This window comes from Homo sapiens, chromosome 1 (genome assembly GCF_000001405.40).
Source record: "Homo sapiens chromosome 1, GRCh38.p14 Primary Assembly".
NCBI classification, from domain to species: domain Eukaryota; kingdom Metazoa; phylum Chordata; class Mammalia; order Primates; family Hominidae; genus Homo; species Homo sapiens.
In genome coordinates, this window is record NC_000001.11 from 2,118,872 (window position 1) to 2,132,773 (window position 13,902).

Here is a 13,902-nt window from a genome sequence, read left to right on the forward strand (position 1 = left end):
TAATCCAGTCTGAAAATGGCTGTGTTTTAAATGAAAGATTTAGTCCGTTTACATTTAATGTCATTCTGATGTGTTACATTGTAGCTTTGTCATCTTGCTATGGGTCCTTATTTGTCCGGTCTGTTCTTTGTTTTGTCCCTCTTTCTTGCCTTCTTTTGGTTTAATCAGATGTTTTTATTCCACTTTCCTCCCTTTATTATTATAGCTTTGTTAAGTAATACTTCTCTTAATGTTATTTTAATGGCTACCTTAGAAATTATGAGTCACATCCTTGGAACGTAGCATAAACTACTTTTACCATTTTCTTCAAAACCTTATAACAGTTTAATTCTTATTTTTTCCTTTTTTTTTTTTTTTTTTGAGATGGAGTGTCACTCTTGTTGCCCAGGCTAGAGTGCAAGGGCGCGATTTTGGCTCACTGCAACCTCCACCTCCTGGGTTCAAGTGATTCTGCTGCCTCAGCCTCCTGAGTAGCTGGGATTACAGGTGCCCACCACCATGCCCAACTATTTTTTGTATTTTTAGTAGAGGCAGGGTTTCACCATATTGACCAGGCTGGTATCGAATTCCTGGCCTCAAGTGATCTGTCTGCCTTGGCCTCCCAAAGTGCTGGGTTTACAGGCATGAGCCACTGTGCCTGGCCTAATTATTCTTCTTTCCTTATTGTTAGTTTGTGCTATTATTTTATCAGTCTTTGTGCTGTTATTATCATGCCTGTAAATTCTACGTGTATTTCAGACCCACAAACCAAGTGTTGTCTTAGACAGTGGTCCTTCAGATTTACCCCCAGGTTACCCTTCTAGTCTTCCTGCAGGACGGCGCTTACATGGAGACCAGCTTCCTTCTGCCTGAAGTAGTCCCTTTAGTATTCCTTTCAGCACAGACTTGTAATTAATTCTTTTTATTTCTTTTCTTTTCTTTTTTTTTTTTTTGAGATGGATTTTTGCTCTTGTTGCCCAGGCTGGAGTGCAGTGGTGTGATTTTGGCTCACTGCAGCCTCCACCTCCCAGGTTCAAGCGATTCTCCTGGCTCAGCCTCCTGAGGAGCTAGGATTGCAGGTGTGCGCCACCACGCCCAGTTGTTTTTTGTTTGTGTGGGAAATGTCTTTGGCATTCTTTCTGGAGGGTGTTCTCCACTCTGTGTGGAGTTCTAGGCAGGTAGGGGGTTTCCCCCAACAGGTTTTTGTGTTGGCTTGGAGTGTTTGTCATTTCTGTGGTGAGGGCGCCTTCCAGCCTCACTGCCACCCCTGGAAGGCAACATCTCTTTTCTCTGACTCCTGTTAAAAGTGTTTTCATCACAACAGCAGCCTTGTGAAGGACAGAGGAATCGAGAATTTCTCCTAATTGAGATTGGTAGAGCTTCTTGAATCAGGGACATGATAGCTTTTGTCTCTTTTGGAAAATATCAGCCCTTGACTTTTCGTTTTTTTTTTTTTTTTTTTTTTTTTTTTTGAGTCTCGCTCTTGTTGCCCAGGCTGGAGTGCAATGGCGCGATCTCGACTCACTGCAATCTCCACCTCCCCGGTTCAAGTGATTCTCCTGCCTCAGCGTCCCGAGTAGCTGGGATTACAGGCACTTGCCACCATGACCGGCTAATTTTTTTTGCATTTATAGGAGAGACAGGGTTTCACCATGTTGACCAGGCTGGTCTGGAACTCCTGATCATACATCCACCTTGGCCTCCCAAAGTGCTGGGATTACAGGTGTGAGCCACCGTGCCCGGCCAGCCCTTGGCTTTTCAAATAGCATCCTGTTCTCTCTCCCCTGGGACCCCCACACTTCACACCTGTGTGTCTAATGTGCTCTTTTTTCTGGGTTTCTTCTGCGTTGGTTTTTTCCCGCTTTGTGCTTCAATGTGGATTTTTTTCTACTGTTATCTCTTATTTCACCCAATCTACTCTTAAATCTACCCTTTAAATTATTAATTTCAGTCACTTCATTTTTTACTTTTAGAATTTCCATTTGATTCTTTTTTTTTTTTTTTTTGCCCAGGATGGCAATGGCACGCTCTCGGCTCACTGCAACCTCCGCCTCCCAGGTTCAAGCAATATTCCTGCCCCAGCCTCCCAAGCAGCTGGGATTACAGGGTCACACTACCACGCCCCACTAATTTTTATGTTTTTATTAGAGACGGGGTTTTGCCATGTTGGCCAGGCTGGTCTCGAACTCCTGACCTTGGGTGATCCGTTTGCCTCAGCCTCCCAAAGTGTTGGGATTACAGGCGTGAGCCACTGCGCCTGGCATCGTAGTTCTCTCTTCTGGGGTGGGAATGTCTATTCTGTGTCCTTCTCACGTGCAAAATACTGTCATTACATCCCAATGGCCCCAGAACCCTTAACTCCTCCCAGTGTGGCGGGGGCAGTCTTGTCTGAACAAGGCATGGGGGAGCCTGGAGGCCCATTCCTCCTGAGGCCAAGTTCCTCCCTGGCTGTGGGCCAGCATAAGCGAACAAGGCGTGTACTTCCGGAATGCTATGGACTGAGTGTGTGTCTCCCCAGAATCCATATGTTGAAGCCCTAACCCTCCAGTGTGATGGTGTTTGGAGACGAAGCCTTTGACAGGTAGTTAGAGTCATGGCGGTAGTTAGTTAGAGTCATGGCGGTAGTTAGTTAGGGTCACGGTGGTAGTTAGGATCATGGTGGTACTTAAGGTCATGGCAGTAGTTAGGGTTATATCAGTAGTTAGGGCTATGGCTGTAGTTAGGGTGATGGTGGTAGTTAAGGTCACAGCAGTAATTAGGGTCATGGTGGTGGTTAGGGTCACAGTGGTAGTTAGGGTCACGGTGGTGGTTAGGGTCGTGGTGGTGGTTAGGGTCACGGTGGTGGTTAGGGTCACGGTGGTAGTTAGGGTCACGGCGGTACTTAGGGTCACGGCGGTGGTTAGGGTCACGGCGGTGGTTAGGGTCACGGTGGTGGTTAGGGTCACGGCGGTGGTTAGGGTCACGGTGGTGGTTAGGGTCGTGGTAGTTAGGTTCATGGTGGTGGTTAGGGTCGTGGTGGTTAGGGTCACGGTGGTGGTTAGGGTCACGGTGGTAGTTAGGGTCACGGCTGTAGTTAGCGTCATGGTGGTGGTTAGGGTCACGGCGGTGGTTAGGGTCACGGTGGTGGTTAGGGTCACGGCGGTGGTTAGGGTCACGGTGGTGGTTAGGGTCGTGGTAGTTAGGTTCATGGTGGTGGTTAGGGTCGTGGTGGTTAGGGTCACGGTGGTAGTTAGGGTCGTGGTGGTTAGGGTCATGGTGGTGGTTAGGGTCACGGTGGTGGTTAGGGTCGTGGTGGTTAGGGTCGTGGTGGTTAGGGTCGTGGTGGTTAGGGTTGTGGTGGTTAGGGTGGTGGTGGTTAGGGTCGTGGCGGTGGTTAGGGTCGTGGCGGTGGTTAGGGTTGTGGTGGTTAGGGTCACGGTGGTGGTTAGGGTCACGGTGGTGGTTAGGGTCACGGTGGTAGGGTCGTGGTGGTTAGGGTCGTGGCGGTGGTTAGGGTCGTGGCGGTGGTTAGGGTTGTGGTGGTTAGGGTCACGGTGGTGGTTAGGGTCACGGTGGTGGTTAGGGTCACGGTGGTAGGGTCGTGGTGGTTAGGGTCGTGGCGGTGGTTAGGGTCGTGGCGGTGGTTAGGGTTGTGGTGGTTAGGGTCACGGTGGTAGTTAGGGTCACGGTGGTGGTTAGGGTCATGGTGGTGGTTAGGGTCACGGTGGTGGTTAGGGTCGTGGTGGTTAGGGTTGTGGTGGTTAGGGTCGTGGCGGTGGTTAGGGTCACGGTGGTGGTTAGGGTTGTGGTGGTTAGGGTTGTGGTGGTTAGGGTCGTGGCGGTGGTTAGGGTTGTGGTGGTTAGGGTTGTGGTGGTTAGGGTTGTGGTGGTTAGGGTCGTGGTGGTTAGGGTCGTGGCGGTGGTTAGGGTTGTGGTGGTTAGGGTTGTGGTGGTTAGGGTCGTGGCGGTGGTTAGGGTCGTGGCGGTGGTTAGGGTCGTGGCGGTGGTTAGGGTTGTGGTGGTTAGGGTTGTGGTGGTTAGGGTCACGGTGGTGGTTAGGGTCACGGTGGTAGTTAGGGTCACGGTGGTGGTTAGGGTCACGGCGGTGGTTAGGGTCACGGTGGTAGTTAGGGTCATGGTGGTGGTTAGGGTCACGGTGGTAGGGTCGTGGTGGTTAGGGTCGTGGCGGTGGTTAGGTTCATGGTGGTGGTTAGGGTCGTGGTGGTTAGGGTCACGGTGGTAGTTAGGGTCACGGTGGTGGTTAGGGTCACGGTGGTGGTTAGGGTCACGGTGGTAGTTAGGGTCACGGTGGTGGTTAGGGTCACGGCGGTGGTTAGGGTCACGGTGGTAGTTAGGGTCACGGTGGTGGTTAGGGTCACGGTGGTAGGGTCGTGGTGGTTAGGGTCGTGGCGGTGGTTAGGTTCATGGTGGTGGTTAGGGTCGTGGTGGTTAGGGTCACGGTGGTAGTTAGGGTCACGGTGGTGGTTAGGGTCATGGTGGTGGTTAGGGTCACGGTGGTGGTTAGGGTCGTGGTGGTTAGGGTTGTGGTGGTTAGGGTCGTGGCGGTGGTTAGGGTCACGGTGGTGGTTAGGGTTGTGGTGGTTAGGGTCGTGGCGGTGGTTAGGGTTGTGGTGGTTAGGGTTGTGGTGGTTAGGGTTGTGGTGGTTAGGGTCGTGGCGGTGGTTAGGGTCGTGGCGGTGGTTAGGGTTGTGGTGGTTAGGGTTGTGGTGGTTAGGGTCACGGTGGTAGTTAGGGTCACGGTGGTAGTTAGGGTCACGGTGGTGGTTAGGGTCACGGCGGTGGTTAGGGTCACGGTGGTAGTTAGGGTCACGGTGGTGGTTAGGGTCACGGCGGTGGTTAGGGTCACGGTGGTAGTTAGGGTGGTGGTGGTTAGGGTCACGGTGGTGGTTAGGGTCACGGTGGTAGTTAGGGTCACGGTGGTGGTTAGGGTCGTGGCGGTGGTTAGGGTTGTGGTGGTTAGGGTCACGGCGGTGGTTAGGGTCACGGTGGTGGTTAGGGTTGTGGTGGTTAGGGTCACGGTGGCGGTTAGGGTCACGGCGGCGGTTAGGGTCACGGCGGCGGTTAGGGTCACGGCGGTGGTTAGGGTCACGGCGGTGGTTAGGGTCACGGCGGTGGTTAGGGTCACGGCGGTGGTTAGGGTCGTGGTGGTTAGGGTCACGGTGGCGGTTAGGGTCACGGCGGCGGTTAGGGTCACGGCGGCGGTTAGGGTCACGGCGGCGGTTAGGGTCACGGCGGCGGTTAGGGTCACGGCGACGGTTAGGGTCACGGCGGTGGTTAGGGTCACGGTGGTGGTTAGGGTCACGGCGGTGGTTAGGGTCACGGCGGTGGTTAGGGTCACGGCTGTAGTTAGGGTCACGGCTGTAGTTAGCGTCACGGTGGTGGTTAGGGTCACGGTGGTGGTTAGGGTCATGGCGGTAGTTAGGGTCACGGCTGTAGTTAGCGTCACGGTGGTAGTTAGGGTCACGGTGGTGGTTAGGGTCACGGTGGTGGTTAGGGTCACGGCGGTGGTTAGGGTCACGGCGGCGGTTAGGGTCACGGCGGTGGTTAGGGTCACGGTGGTGGTTAGGGTCACAGGGTAGAACCCTTGTGGTGGGATTTGTGCCCTTTATAGGATGAGAGGATGAGACACAAGAGAGGTTGTGCTGCGCCTGTGCTCTCTGCTCCACATGAGAACATGGTGAGCATGAGGCCGCCAGCAAGCAAGGAGATACCCCGCCCTGCAGGTTCCGTCATCCTGACTCCAGCCTCGGAAACATGAGAAAGTCAATGCCTGTCACTTAAGCCGCCCAGTCTGTGGTATTTTGCTGTGGTGGCTGAGCCGACGGAGACAGTTCCATAGGTCTTGATTGTCCTGGTGGCCCTGAACCCCAGTTTTTGTCTCCAGTGAGATGCCTGGCCCGGCTTTCTGTGTGACCTCCGAAGGGTCAGCAGACGCCGTGCATGTGCAGGGCTTGGGTGGCGCATCTCTCTGGCAACACCTTCTCTTCTGACGCACTTGTCTGGTCTCGGATGCCTCCAACGCGGTTTTTACTTATTTTCCAGCTTTCGTCGATTGTTCGTGGGAGGAGGGTTAGACTCCTCGCGTGGCGTCCCTGGCCACATCCTCAGCGCTGTGTCCCCTCGCAGCTCAGTTCCTGGTTCTGAGTTATTGTGACTCAGCCGCACGTCCTCCCAGGGGCCTTGCCAGCCTGGCTCTGTGCCGGGCGCTGGGCAATCTCTGCCTCCAGCCTGGGCCTTTGGGTCTGTTTGAGGGTGGGGGACACGGAGCTCAGCAGTGAGGAACTCGGAGCAGCTTCTTGTTGTTGGTGTTGATGTGTTTTGTTTGTTTTAGTGAATCCAGAAAAAAAATTTCTTACATAGAAAGGAGCGGTATTTGGTATGAATTTATTTGCAACTGACTGCTTGGAAGTTGGCGTACATCTTTCCACGGAAACTATGAAAATACTGGTCAGCCTCTCAGTCATTTCATAAAATCTTGATTTTGTATTACAACAAATTAGGATATTTTCAGTAGAACTGATTGTAAGGCCAGACTGTTGGAATGTAATTCCTTCCCAAACATCTCTCAGGGGCACTTTCCTGAACGGCTGCTGACAGCAGCATTTGAGGACGGTGGGGCGGAGGACATCCTGGGGGGCCTGGCTTCTTGGGAACTGGAGGCTTTGGCCCTTGTCCCACCCCTGCTCCCCTGAGGAGGGAGGCGTGGGGCCCTGGGCTGGCTGCAAGACGTGGAGTGACTGTGGGTCCCCGTGGCCCCTGACATGCTCCCAGGGAACCCAAGAAAAGACTGAGACCCTGTGGTGCCTCCCGCTTTCCATCCGCATTCCATGGCAGGTGAGTCTGATTATTCGAAGGAGGCTGGAGTGTGGGCGGAGGGCAGCGCCAGGTTTCCCAATCAGATTTGCTCAGGGTCCCTCCAGCAGTCCATGCCGCAGAGGCTGTCCCTTGGGGGCCCACGCATCCTAGCCACGGCCTCCTCACGTCCATGCGGGGATTTGCGCCCTGGAAGGAGCCGCCCGGCTGCCTCTCGCCAACATGCAGCACTTCCCTTCCTTTCCATGGAGCACGGTTCCTGTCCCGGGGGTCCATATTGGCCACTGTGGGAGAGAGTCGGGCAGCTGAATTCCCGCAGGTGGGAATGCCAGGGCCCGAGGATGTTGCCCCTGTCCTGAAGGCTGTCGCCCGATCGCTCTATCCAAGGCTGCCCTGGGGCAGCGTCACCTGGGGGTCCTGCGGGGGCTTCTCAGCACAGCATCCAGCACTGCCACCTAGTGTGTTCCCGTCACGTCTCCTCCCCCCGCCTGCACCAGGCACCAGAGACCCGGATGCCAAGGCCTGTCAGCTTCCTCAATGGGAAACTTTTCTTCAGTGAACAAAGCTCTGTTTTATAGACTTTTTAAATTTTCAGCTCAAAAACCAAAGTCTGCCAGTGTTGGTGGCCTTGGAGGGCTGGTCTGCTGACCTGGGCTGCAGGGGCTGCCCGGCTGGGGTCGTGGTCGGGGCAGGTGCCGCCCACAGGTTGTTTGGCTGCAGGTGATGGGCAGGTCCCCCATCACGTGTCCAGAGGTGGGTGCTGCTGGTGGGTAATCCAGCTCATTACCTGTCTCCCCCCAGCCGCCTTGGGCTGGGGACCCTGCCCCGCCGACCCTGCCATGCCCACCCCCCTCCAGCCTGATTGCGTGTCTCAGTCACATGACCGCCCTGGGCCCGTGATGTCACTGGGAAATGCCCTCATTTGATTGGCTTAGACCCCAGATGAACAAGCCCAAGGTCTTGGGGCATCAGAGCCACCCATGAGGGCAGCTGGATGCAGCGGCCACAGCCTGTGGTTGGGGAATGGCATTGCGCAGCTCCACCACGAGGGGACCTGAGGCTTGGACTGTGAGACTGGCCCAGGCTCGCCACTTGCCCCTCACCCGGGGTTGCCTTCCCGAGGGCCGCGGACACCTGAGCAGTCCCCATGCCACTGCATTGTGGCAGGGACACGGCCGCCCATCCCTCCTGGGTCCCTTATCCACCTGCCTGTCCCTTCGTATCACTGACACCCTGATACCCATTGTGCTGCGCCGTGTGGCCCGGTGCCCACAGGGCCGGGTTCTGCCTGTTCCTGGGGGTCCGTGTGTCCCACGTGCCTAGACGTGAGAGGACGGAAGTCGGCAGAGCTTGGCTCCCTGTTCGCCCGACTGGCGCCTCGGCTGTGCCTCTTCTGTCTCTCGAGCTCTTCTGTGCCGTGTGGTTGCACTAAGCAGCTGTGGGGAAGGGGGAGGTTGTTGCCTCAGTGGGAGCCTGGGCTGTGGCTGCCAGTCCCCAAAACAGACCCTGCGCCCCGGGCAACCATCTGCTTCCCGCCACAGTGGTGCCCAAAACCTTTTCCAAGTCGTCTTCTGTGACTTTAGTGTTATTCTTCAGTCACCTTTAAAAGCATAGCATGTTTTCAATCACATGTTCAGCTGGGAAATAGATCTGTGGTTAGAAACGGGAAGTTTGAGTTGCAGGCTTGCGATCCGGGCAGGTCCCTCAGATGGAGGGGCTGCACCTCCACTGCCCCCCCCACCGCCGCCCCTGCCCCACGGCCACCCCAGATCCTCAGACGCCCCTCCCTGTGCCTTCTCACCCTCTGGTCCTGGCTGGGCCCGTCCCGCCCCACGTCCCGCCTCCCACTGCCCTCAGCCTCTGGAACGGTGCCTGCATGGCTGGCACTATCCAGCGCAGAAGGAATGAAGGACTTCTGTTCAGACAGCTCTGCTGGGAGCGTTCTGGCCTGAAATGCAGTGGGAGCTCTGGTGCAGGTGTAGCCGAGGCTCAGGGGCTCCACACCAGGCAAATAGGCGAACGGCGTCTCCCGCGGCTCCCGGTGGCTTTTTAGGACTCTGCGTTCGTGTTCTCCATTGTCCCTGGCAGCCCCTGGCCAGGGTGGCCCAGTGCCCACTATAGAGGGTGCAGGTCAGTTTGTGGACCAATGGCCAACCAGGCTGAGTCAGGTGAGGTGGGGAGTCCCACCCCAAACCCCAAACTCCAGTGTCTGGGCCACGGGCAGCCCTGGGACACCTTAGCTCTGGACACGAATTTGCGGTCATTGCTGTTCTTGTGTCTCTATTTGCCTAGGACATGCTGGCAGCTAACTGGGTGCTGGGGAAGCCTGGAGAGGAAGCCAGGTGGCCCCAGGCTCCTGGAGCTCAGAATCTAGTGGAAATCGCTGCCCAGGGAAGAAGCTCCGGAGTCTAGAGGTGGCAGCACCCATTTTACCTGCACCCTCAGTGACAGCTGCACCCTGGCTTCTGGGGACCTCTGGGCCCAAGGGCACCTCACTGTCTCCTTGTCCTCCTGGTCACTGACCTGGGCCACCATAGAAGGCACCTGGCTATCTGCATGTGGCTTGACCACTGCCTTGCACCCATCCGGGCCCCGCAGGGCCGTCCTGTGGCACTGCTTTGGGCTGTGCTGGTCACCCTGTGTAGCGGGGCCATGTCCAGTGAACAGGAGAGGCCTCAAGTGCCCCCTGACCTGCTGCCAGGGACTCGGCCCCTCCCTCACCGCCACCGCACCCAAGGGCTGTCGCCTGTCCCAGCCTGCTGCTCCGAGTTTAGTGTTTTAAAACGTGTTTTCTACGTCTTGTCAGAGTGCTCAAGGCGCGAGATTGCCATGGAAACTGAGCTCCTTAGAATTCCTGTGGCCGTCCTAATTATAGAATCTCAAAGACACGCACAGAGCTCCTTGAGGTTGTCGGAGTTAAGGCTGAAAGAGGAGGAGCGGCCCCTGTGATCCCCACAATTTTGTTCCCTGCTTGCTTCAGCAGAGCCTGGCACCCAGGGAGGTGGCAGGATGGGTCCCCAATGGGCACGTGACATCGAGCCAGCTCTGACTCCAAAGCCTGACCCGTGTGGCTGCACCGTCCACTGTGCGCTGTCCACTGCAGGAGACCCCAGGCTGTGTCCACACGTACCCCCGGAAGGACCTCCTGCTAACCTGGGCTTGACTTTGAGACCCTGTTCCACAGAGGTAGCCGGGGGACTCGCGGTGCCAGGCCCACAGCCTCCTCGCCGGTAGTATCTGGGGGCCAGGGGCCGTTTCCAGAGCACACTCCCCAGAAGGGCTCCCTTCTCCTTTTCACAGCGCTGTCTGTCGCTTAGGTCAGAAATAGGCCCATCGCTTTCCAAGCAGAAACCCAAACACTGAAAATTCGACTGTGACTTTTGAGGGGTGGGGACCGCCAGGTCCCCCCAACATCCCTGCCTGCGGGCCCAGAAAGGCAGAGTGGCTGCCGGCCCGCGTGTCCAGGCCCCTTACACTGAGGGAACCTTCTAGTCAATTGCCTGAAGTTCGAAGGTTTGGGGGGTTTTTGTGGTTGCTTCCGTTTGTTTTGGCAGTTGCAGAATCCCCCGAAAAGGTGGGAATGTGGATTTTTCAAGGCAGGTGCTCCTTTGATTCAGAAGCTAAGGAGGCCCTAAGTGCAGTCTCACCTTGAGAAAAATATCAGGCCAGTCCTAACGGAGGGGCGTCCTGCAGACACCCAGCCTGCACTCAGAACTGTCACGGTCAGAAAGCACGGTCAGAAAGTCTGAGAAAGTCACGGTGCAGCAGGGCCCGAGAGGCAAGACGGTGACACGTGGGCTCCTGGAAGAGGCAGGATGGTGACACGTGGGCTCCAGGACAGGACCCTGGGGCGGACGCAGACAGTGGGTGAAAACCAAGGAAAGGTCTGAATATCGCTTAAGGTAGCCATGGATCCTGTCTCATTAATTGTAACAGTGTAGCAGGCGGGTGGAAGATGAGAGCTGTGGGGAGCCAGGCAGGGGGGGTCTCTGGGAACTCTCCAATTTAAAGCTGTTCTTAAAAATAGTCTATTAAAAAAGACAGTTGAGGGCGGCCCTGCCTACAGCTGGAGTTGAGGTTCTAGCACCAGGCTTCCTCTCAGCCTCCATAGGCGAGTAGGGACCAGGCAGGGCCTTGGCCACAGGGAGGCTTCTGGTTACCAGGTTCTCCACAGCCTTTGCAGTTTCCCTGTGAATCTGAAATTACCCCCAAATAAAAAGGATGGGTTTTTTTGTTTGTTTGTTTTGTTTTGTTTTTGAGACAGGGTCTGGCTTTGTTGCCCAGGCTGGAATACAGTGGTGTGATCTCTGCTCAGTGCAGCCTCCACCTGCCAGGCTCAGGTGATCCTCCCACCTCAGCCTCCCGAGTAGCTGGGACTATAGGTGCACGCCACCACACTCGGCTCATTTTTTATATTTTTTTTATAGAGACGGGGTCTCACCATATTGCCTAGGCTGGATTCAAATTCCTGGGCTCAAGTGATCCACCTGCCTCGACCTACCGAGGTAGTGGGGTTACAAGCATGAGCCGCCACGCCTGGCCAAAAGGTGTATTTGTTAAGTACAGGCTGCCCTGCTGTCCGTTATCCCTTATAACTCACCTGGTCCCTGCTTTCCAGCTGGGGACTGGCATGGACCCCATGGGGCTTCCCCCATTTCACTGAGGCAAGACCCAGATGCTGGGGGTATTGGGTGTCCTGCCCAACCAGGGTCCCCAGGGCCAGGGGCTCCTGGCGTGCCTTCCCGTGGGACTCCGCATGGGGGGCTGGGAGGGCGAGGAAAATGGGAAACATGATGCCTGCCCAAAACTCCCACCTCGGAGACCCTGTGCCAGGGTTTTCCAGAGAGACCAAACCAATAGGGTGTGTGTATAGAAAGATCTATTGTAAGGAACTGGCTTGTTCATAGAGACTTATGAAGCCCAAAATCTACAGGGGGCCCAGCAGGCTGGAGACCTAGGAGGAGCCACAGCCGCAGCACTGCTGCTTAGGGAGCTCAGCCTTTGCTCTGTGGAGGCCTTTTTCTGCTTGGGTGAGGCCCACCTGCATTGTGGTGGGCAGTCTGCTTCCCCCAAAGTCAGCTGATTTAAATGTTTATCTCATCCATACTCACCCTCATGGAAACATCCAGGATAACATTTGACCAGCCGTCTGGGCACCATGGCCCAGCCGCGTGGACACATACAGTGAACCATTGCAGGCCCTTCCTTGGCACTTGGCATCCACGCATATCCCCTTAAGCCACACTCAGTCTCCACACAGCAGTACTCCCGCCTGACACACTCGGTCTCCACACACAGCAGTACTCCCGCCTGACACAGTTCGACCCTCCCGCAAGCAGTGCCAGCACACTTGGCCTTCCCAGAAGAGGGCCACCATCATGGGCTCGGACCTTCCAGCTGGACTGCAGTGGGGTGGGGCGTGGCCTCGCCTCTGTGGTCTTTGGGTCACTTGAATCCCCGCCTCTCACTCATTTTCCTTTGGTATTTGCAAATTTGTCCCCGTGGCGCCTGGAGCTGACTGCCGGGTGCCACATGTGTCCTGCCTCAAGCCAAGCTCCAGGCGGCACCCGTGAGCAGGCAGGGATGCCAGTGGTTTCTCACCTGGGAGTTTCTTTGCAGGCTCAGAGCTCTTTGTTCCTTTTTAAAAATCTGATTTGAAGGCCGGGCACAGTGGCTCACACCTGTAATCTCAGCACTTTGGGAGGCCGAAGTGGGCATATCGCCTGAGGTCAGGCGTTGGAGACCAGCCTGGGCAACACAGGTTGGGGCAACTCCCTTCCCTAATAAAAGTTCAAAACCAACCCTTAAAGTTTAAAAAGTGAGATGGGATATTTGAAGGAGGCAGGTCTGAGGGAAATGCTTGAAATTATCCTCTCTGTCCCTGTGCTGCCAGGTCATTTAGTTCCATTGTTATTCAACATACCATTTGACACATGCTAGGAGCGCAGGACTCGGCAATATAAAGCGTGGTAATCGATGGACACTGCCCCCGGCAGCCAGCCAGGGGCAGGACTTAAGCCCCACCCAACTGCAGGCTGTCCCCCGCCGCTGCTAGCCTGAAGTTGGATTGGTTACTGCTGCGGCCTGAAATTGGATTGGTTATTTGCTTACTGGAACATTTTTGTCACATGACTGTGTATTCTAAAACAAGATGTTGTTTTTGTTTTTGAGAGAGTCTCGCTCTGTCGCCCAGGCTGGAGTGCAGTGGCGCGATCGCGGCTCACTGCAAGCTCCACCTCCCGGGTTCACGCCATTCTCCTGCCTCAGCCTCCCAAGTAGTTGGGACTACAGGCGCCCACCACCACACCCGACTAATTTTTTGTATTTTTAGTAGAGACGGGGTTTCACCGTGTTAGCCAGGATGGTCTCGATCTCCTGACCTTGTGATCTGCCCGCCTCGGCCTCCCAAAGTGCTGGGATTACAGGCGGGAGCCACCGTGCCTAGTATTGGGTTTGTTTGTTTGTTTTTTGACTTACTTGTTTGGTTCTATAGCAATGGCACCATGTTTCTGTCACCCTAGGGTTTGATTTTTGGTGTTTCTAAGACACCTCTGGGCCACTGCACATGGCTGAGGTGGGCTTCGCACTGGCTCTGTCTTCCGTTGGACGCCCACACATCGGTTTATTTATGCATTCTCTTGTCCACAGACCTTGAGGTCATCAGACATCTTGAATGCTCCCGAGCCCAGGAGCGAGCGTTTCTGAGCTTTGACGGAGCAGCAGTGGGGCTGCCGGGCCCTAGGGGGAGCAAATGGTCCTCGTTTCTGAGCTGCGAGGCTCTCCCAGAGAATAAGCCATTTCTCCGGGGCACTCCTGGGCCTCGAAGGTGTTTGGGGCTGCGGGGGATTGATTTGTGCCGACCCCGCAGTGTAGGAGACGCCTGGGCGGCCTTGCGGGTTGCTTCGATGGTTCTCGGGGCTGAGATGCTTGTGTCTCTCTCGGGCGAGACGCCTGCTCTGGGCTTCTGTTCCTATTTTGACTGCTTTTTCCTCATGGATTTTTCAGTCCAGCATCCCTAGCCACGGGCCCTTTGTCTCTCATGTGTGCAGGTGACTCACGGTGACTAAAATCTTCTGTAATTCCTTCTAAAATGTTTTGCCGCTTTGCTGT

At 55.6% G+C, this 13,902-nt stretch overlaps 1 protein-coding gene across 30 annotated transcripts in view, besides 2 other annotated features; it reads left to right on the forward strand.

The window, feature by feature from the left end:
* Positions 1-13,902, forward strand: part of PRKCZ (protein kinase C zeta) — a 136,892-nt gene that overhangs the window by 70,368 nt on the left and 52,622 nt on the right. Inside the window, exon 1 of one of the 30 annotated variants that reach the window (XM_047425273.1) lies at positions 6,795-6,813. The exons of the other annotated variants lie outside the window; for them this stretch is intronic. Within the exon in view, the coding sequence (XP_047281229.1) occupies positions 6,807-6,813 (7 nt within the window). The 5' untranslated portion in view covers positions 6,795-6,806. Of the gene's footprint in view, positions 1-6,794; positions 6,814-13,902 lie in introns of those variants that run through there. 30 annotated transcript variants of the gene reach the window in all.
* Positions 11,393-12,342: an enhancer, noted in NCBI's record as "H3K27ac-H3K4me1 hESC enhancer chr1:2061703-2062652 (GRCh37/hg19 assembly coordinates)". NCBI's record gives its function as "activates a minimal SCP1, AML or CMV promoter by ChIP-STARR-seq in primed H9 embryonic stem cells {active_cell/tissue: H9 hESC(primed)}" and the evidence as "EXISTENCE:reporter gene assay evidence [ECO:0000049][PMID:30033119]".
* Positions 12,343-13,292: an enhancer, noted in NCBI's record as "H3K27ac-H3K4me1 hESC enhancer chr1:2062653-2063602 (GRCh37/hg19 assembly coordinates)". NCBI's record gives its function as "activates a minimal SCP1, AML or CMV promoter by ChIP-STARR-seq in primed H9 embryonic stem cells {active_cell/tissue: H9 hESC(primed)}" and the evidence as "EXISTENCE:reporter gene assay evidence [ECO:0000049][PMID:30033119]".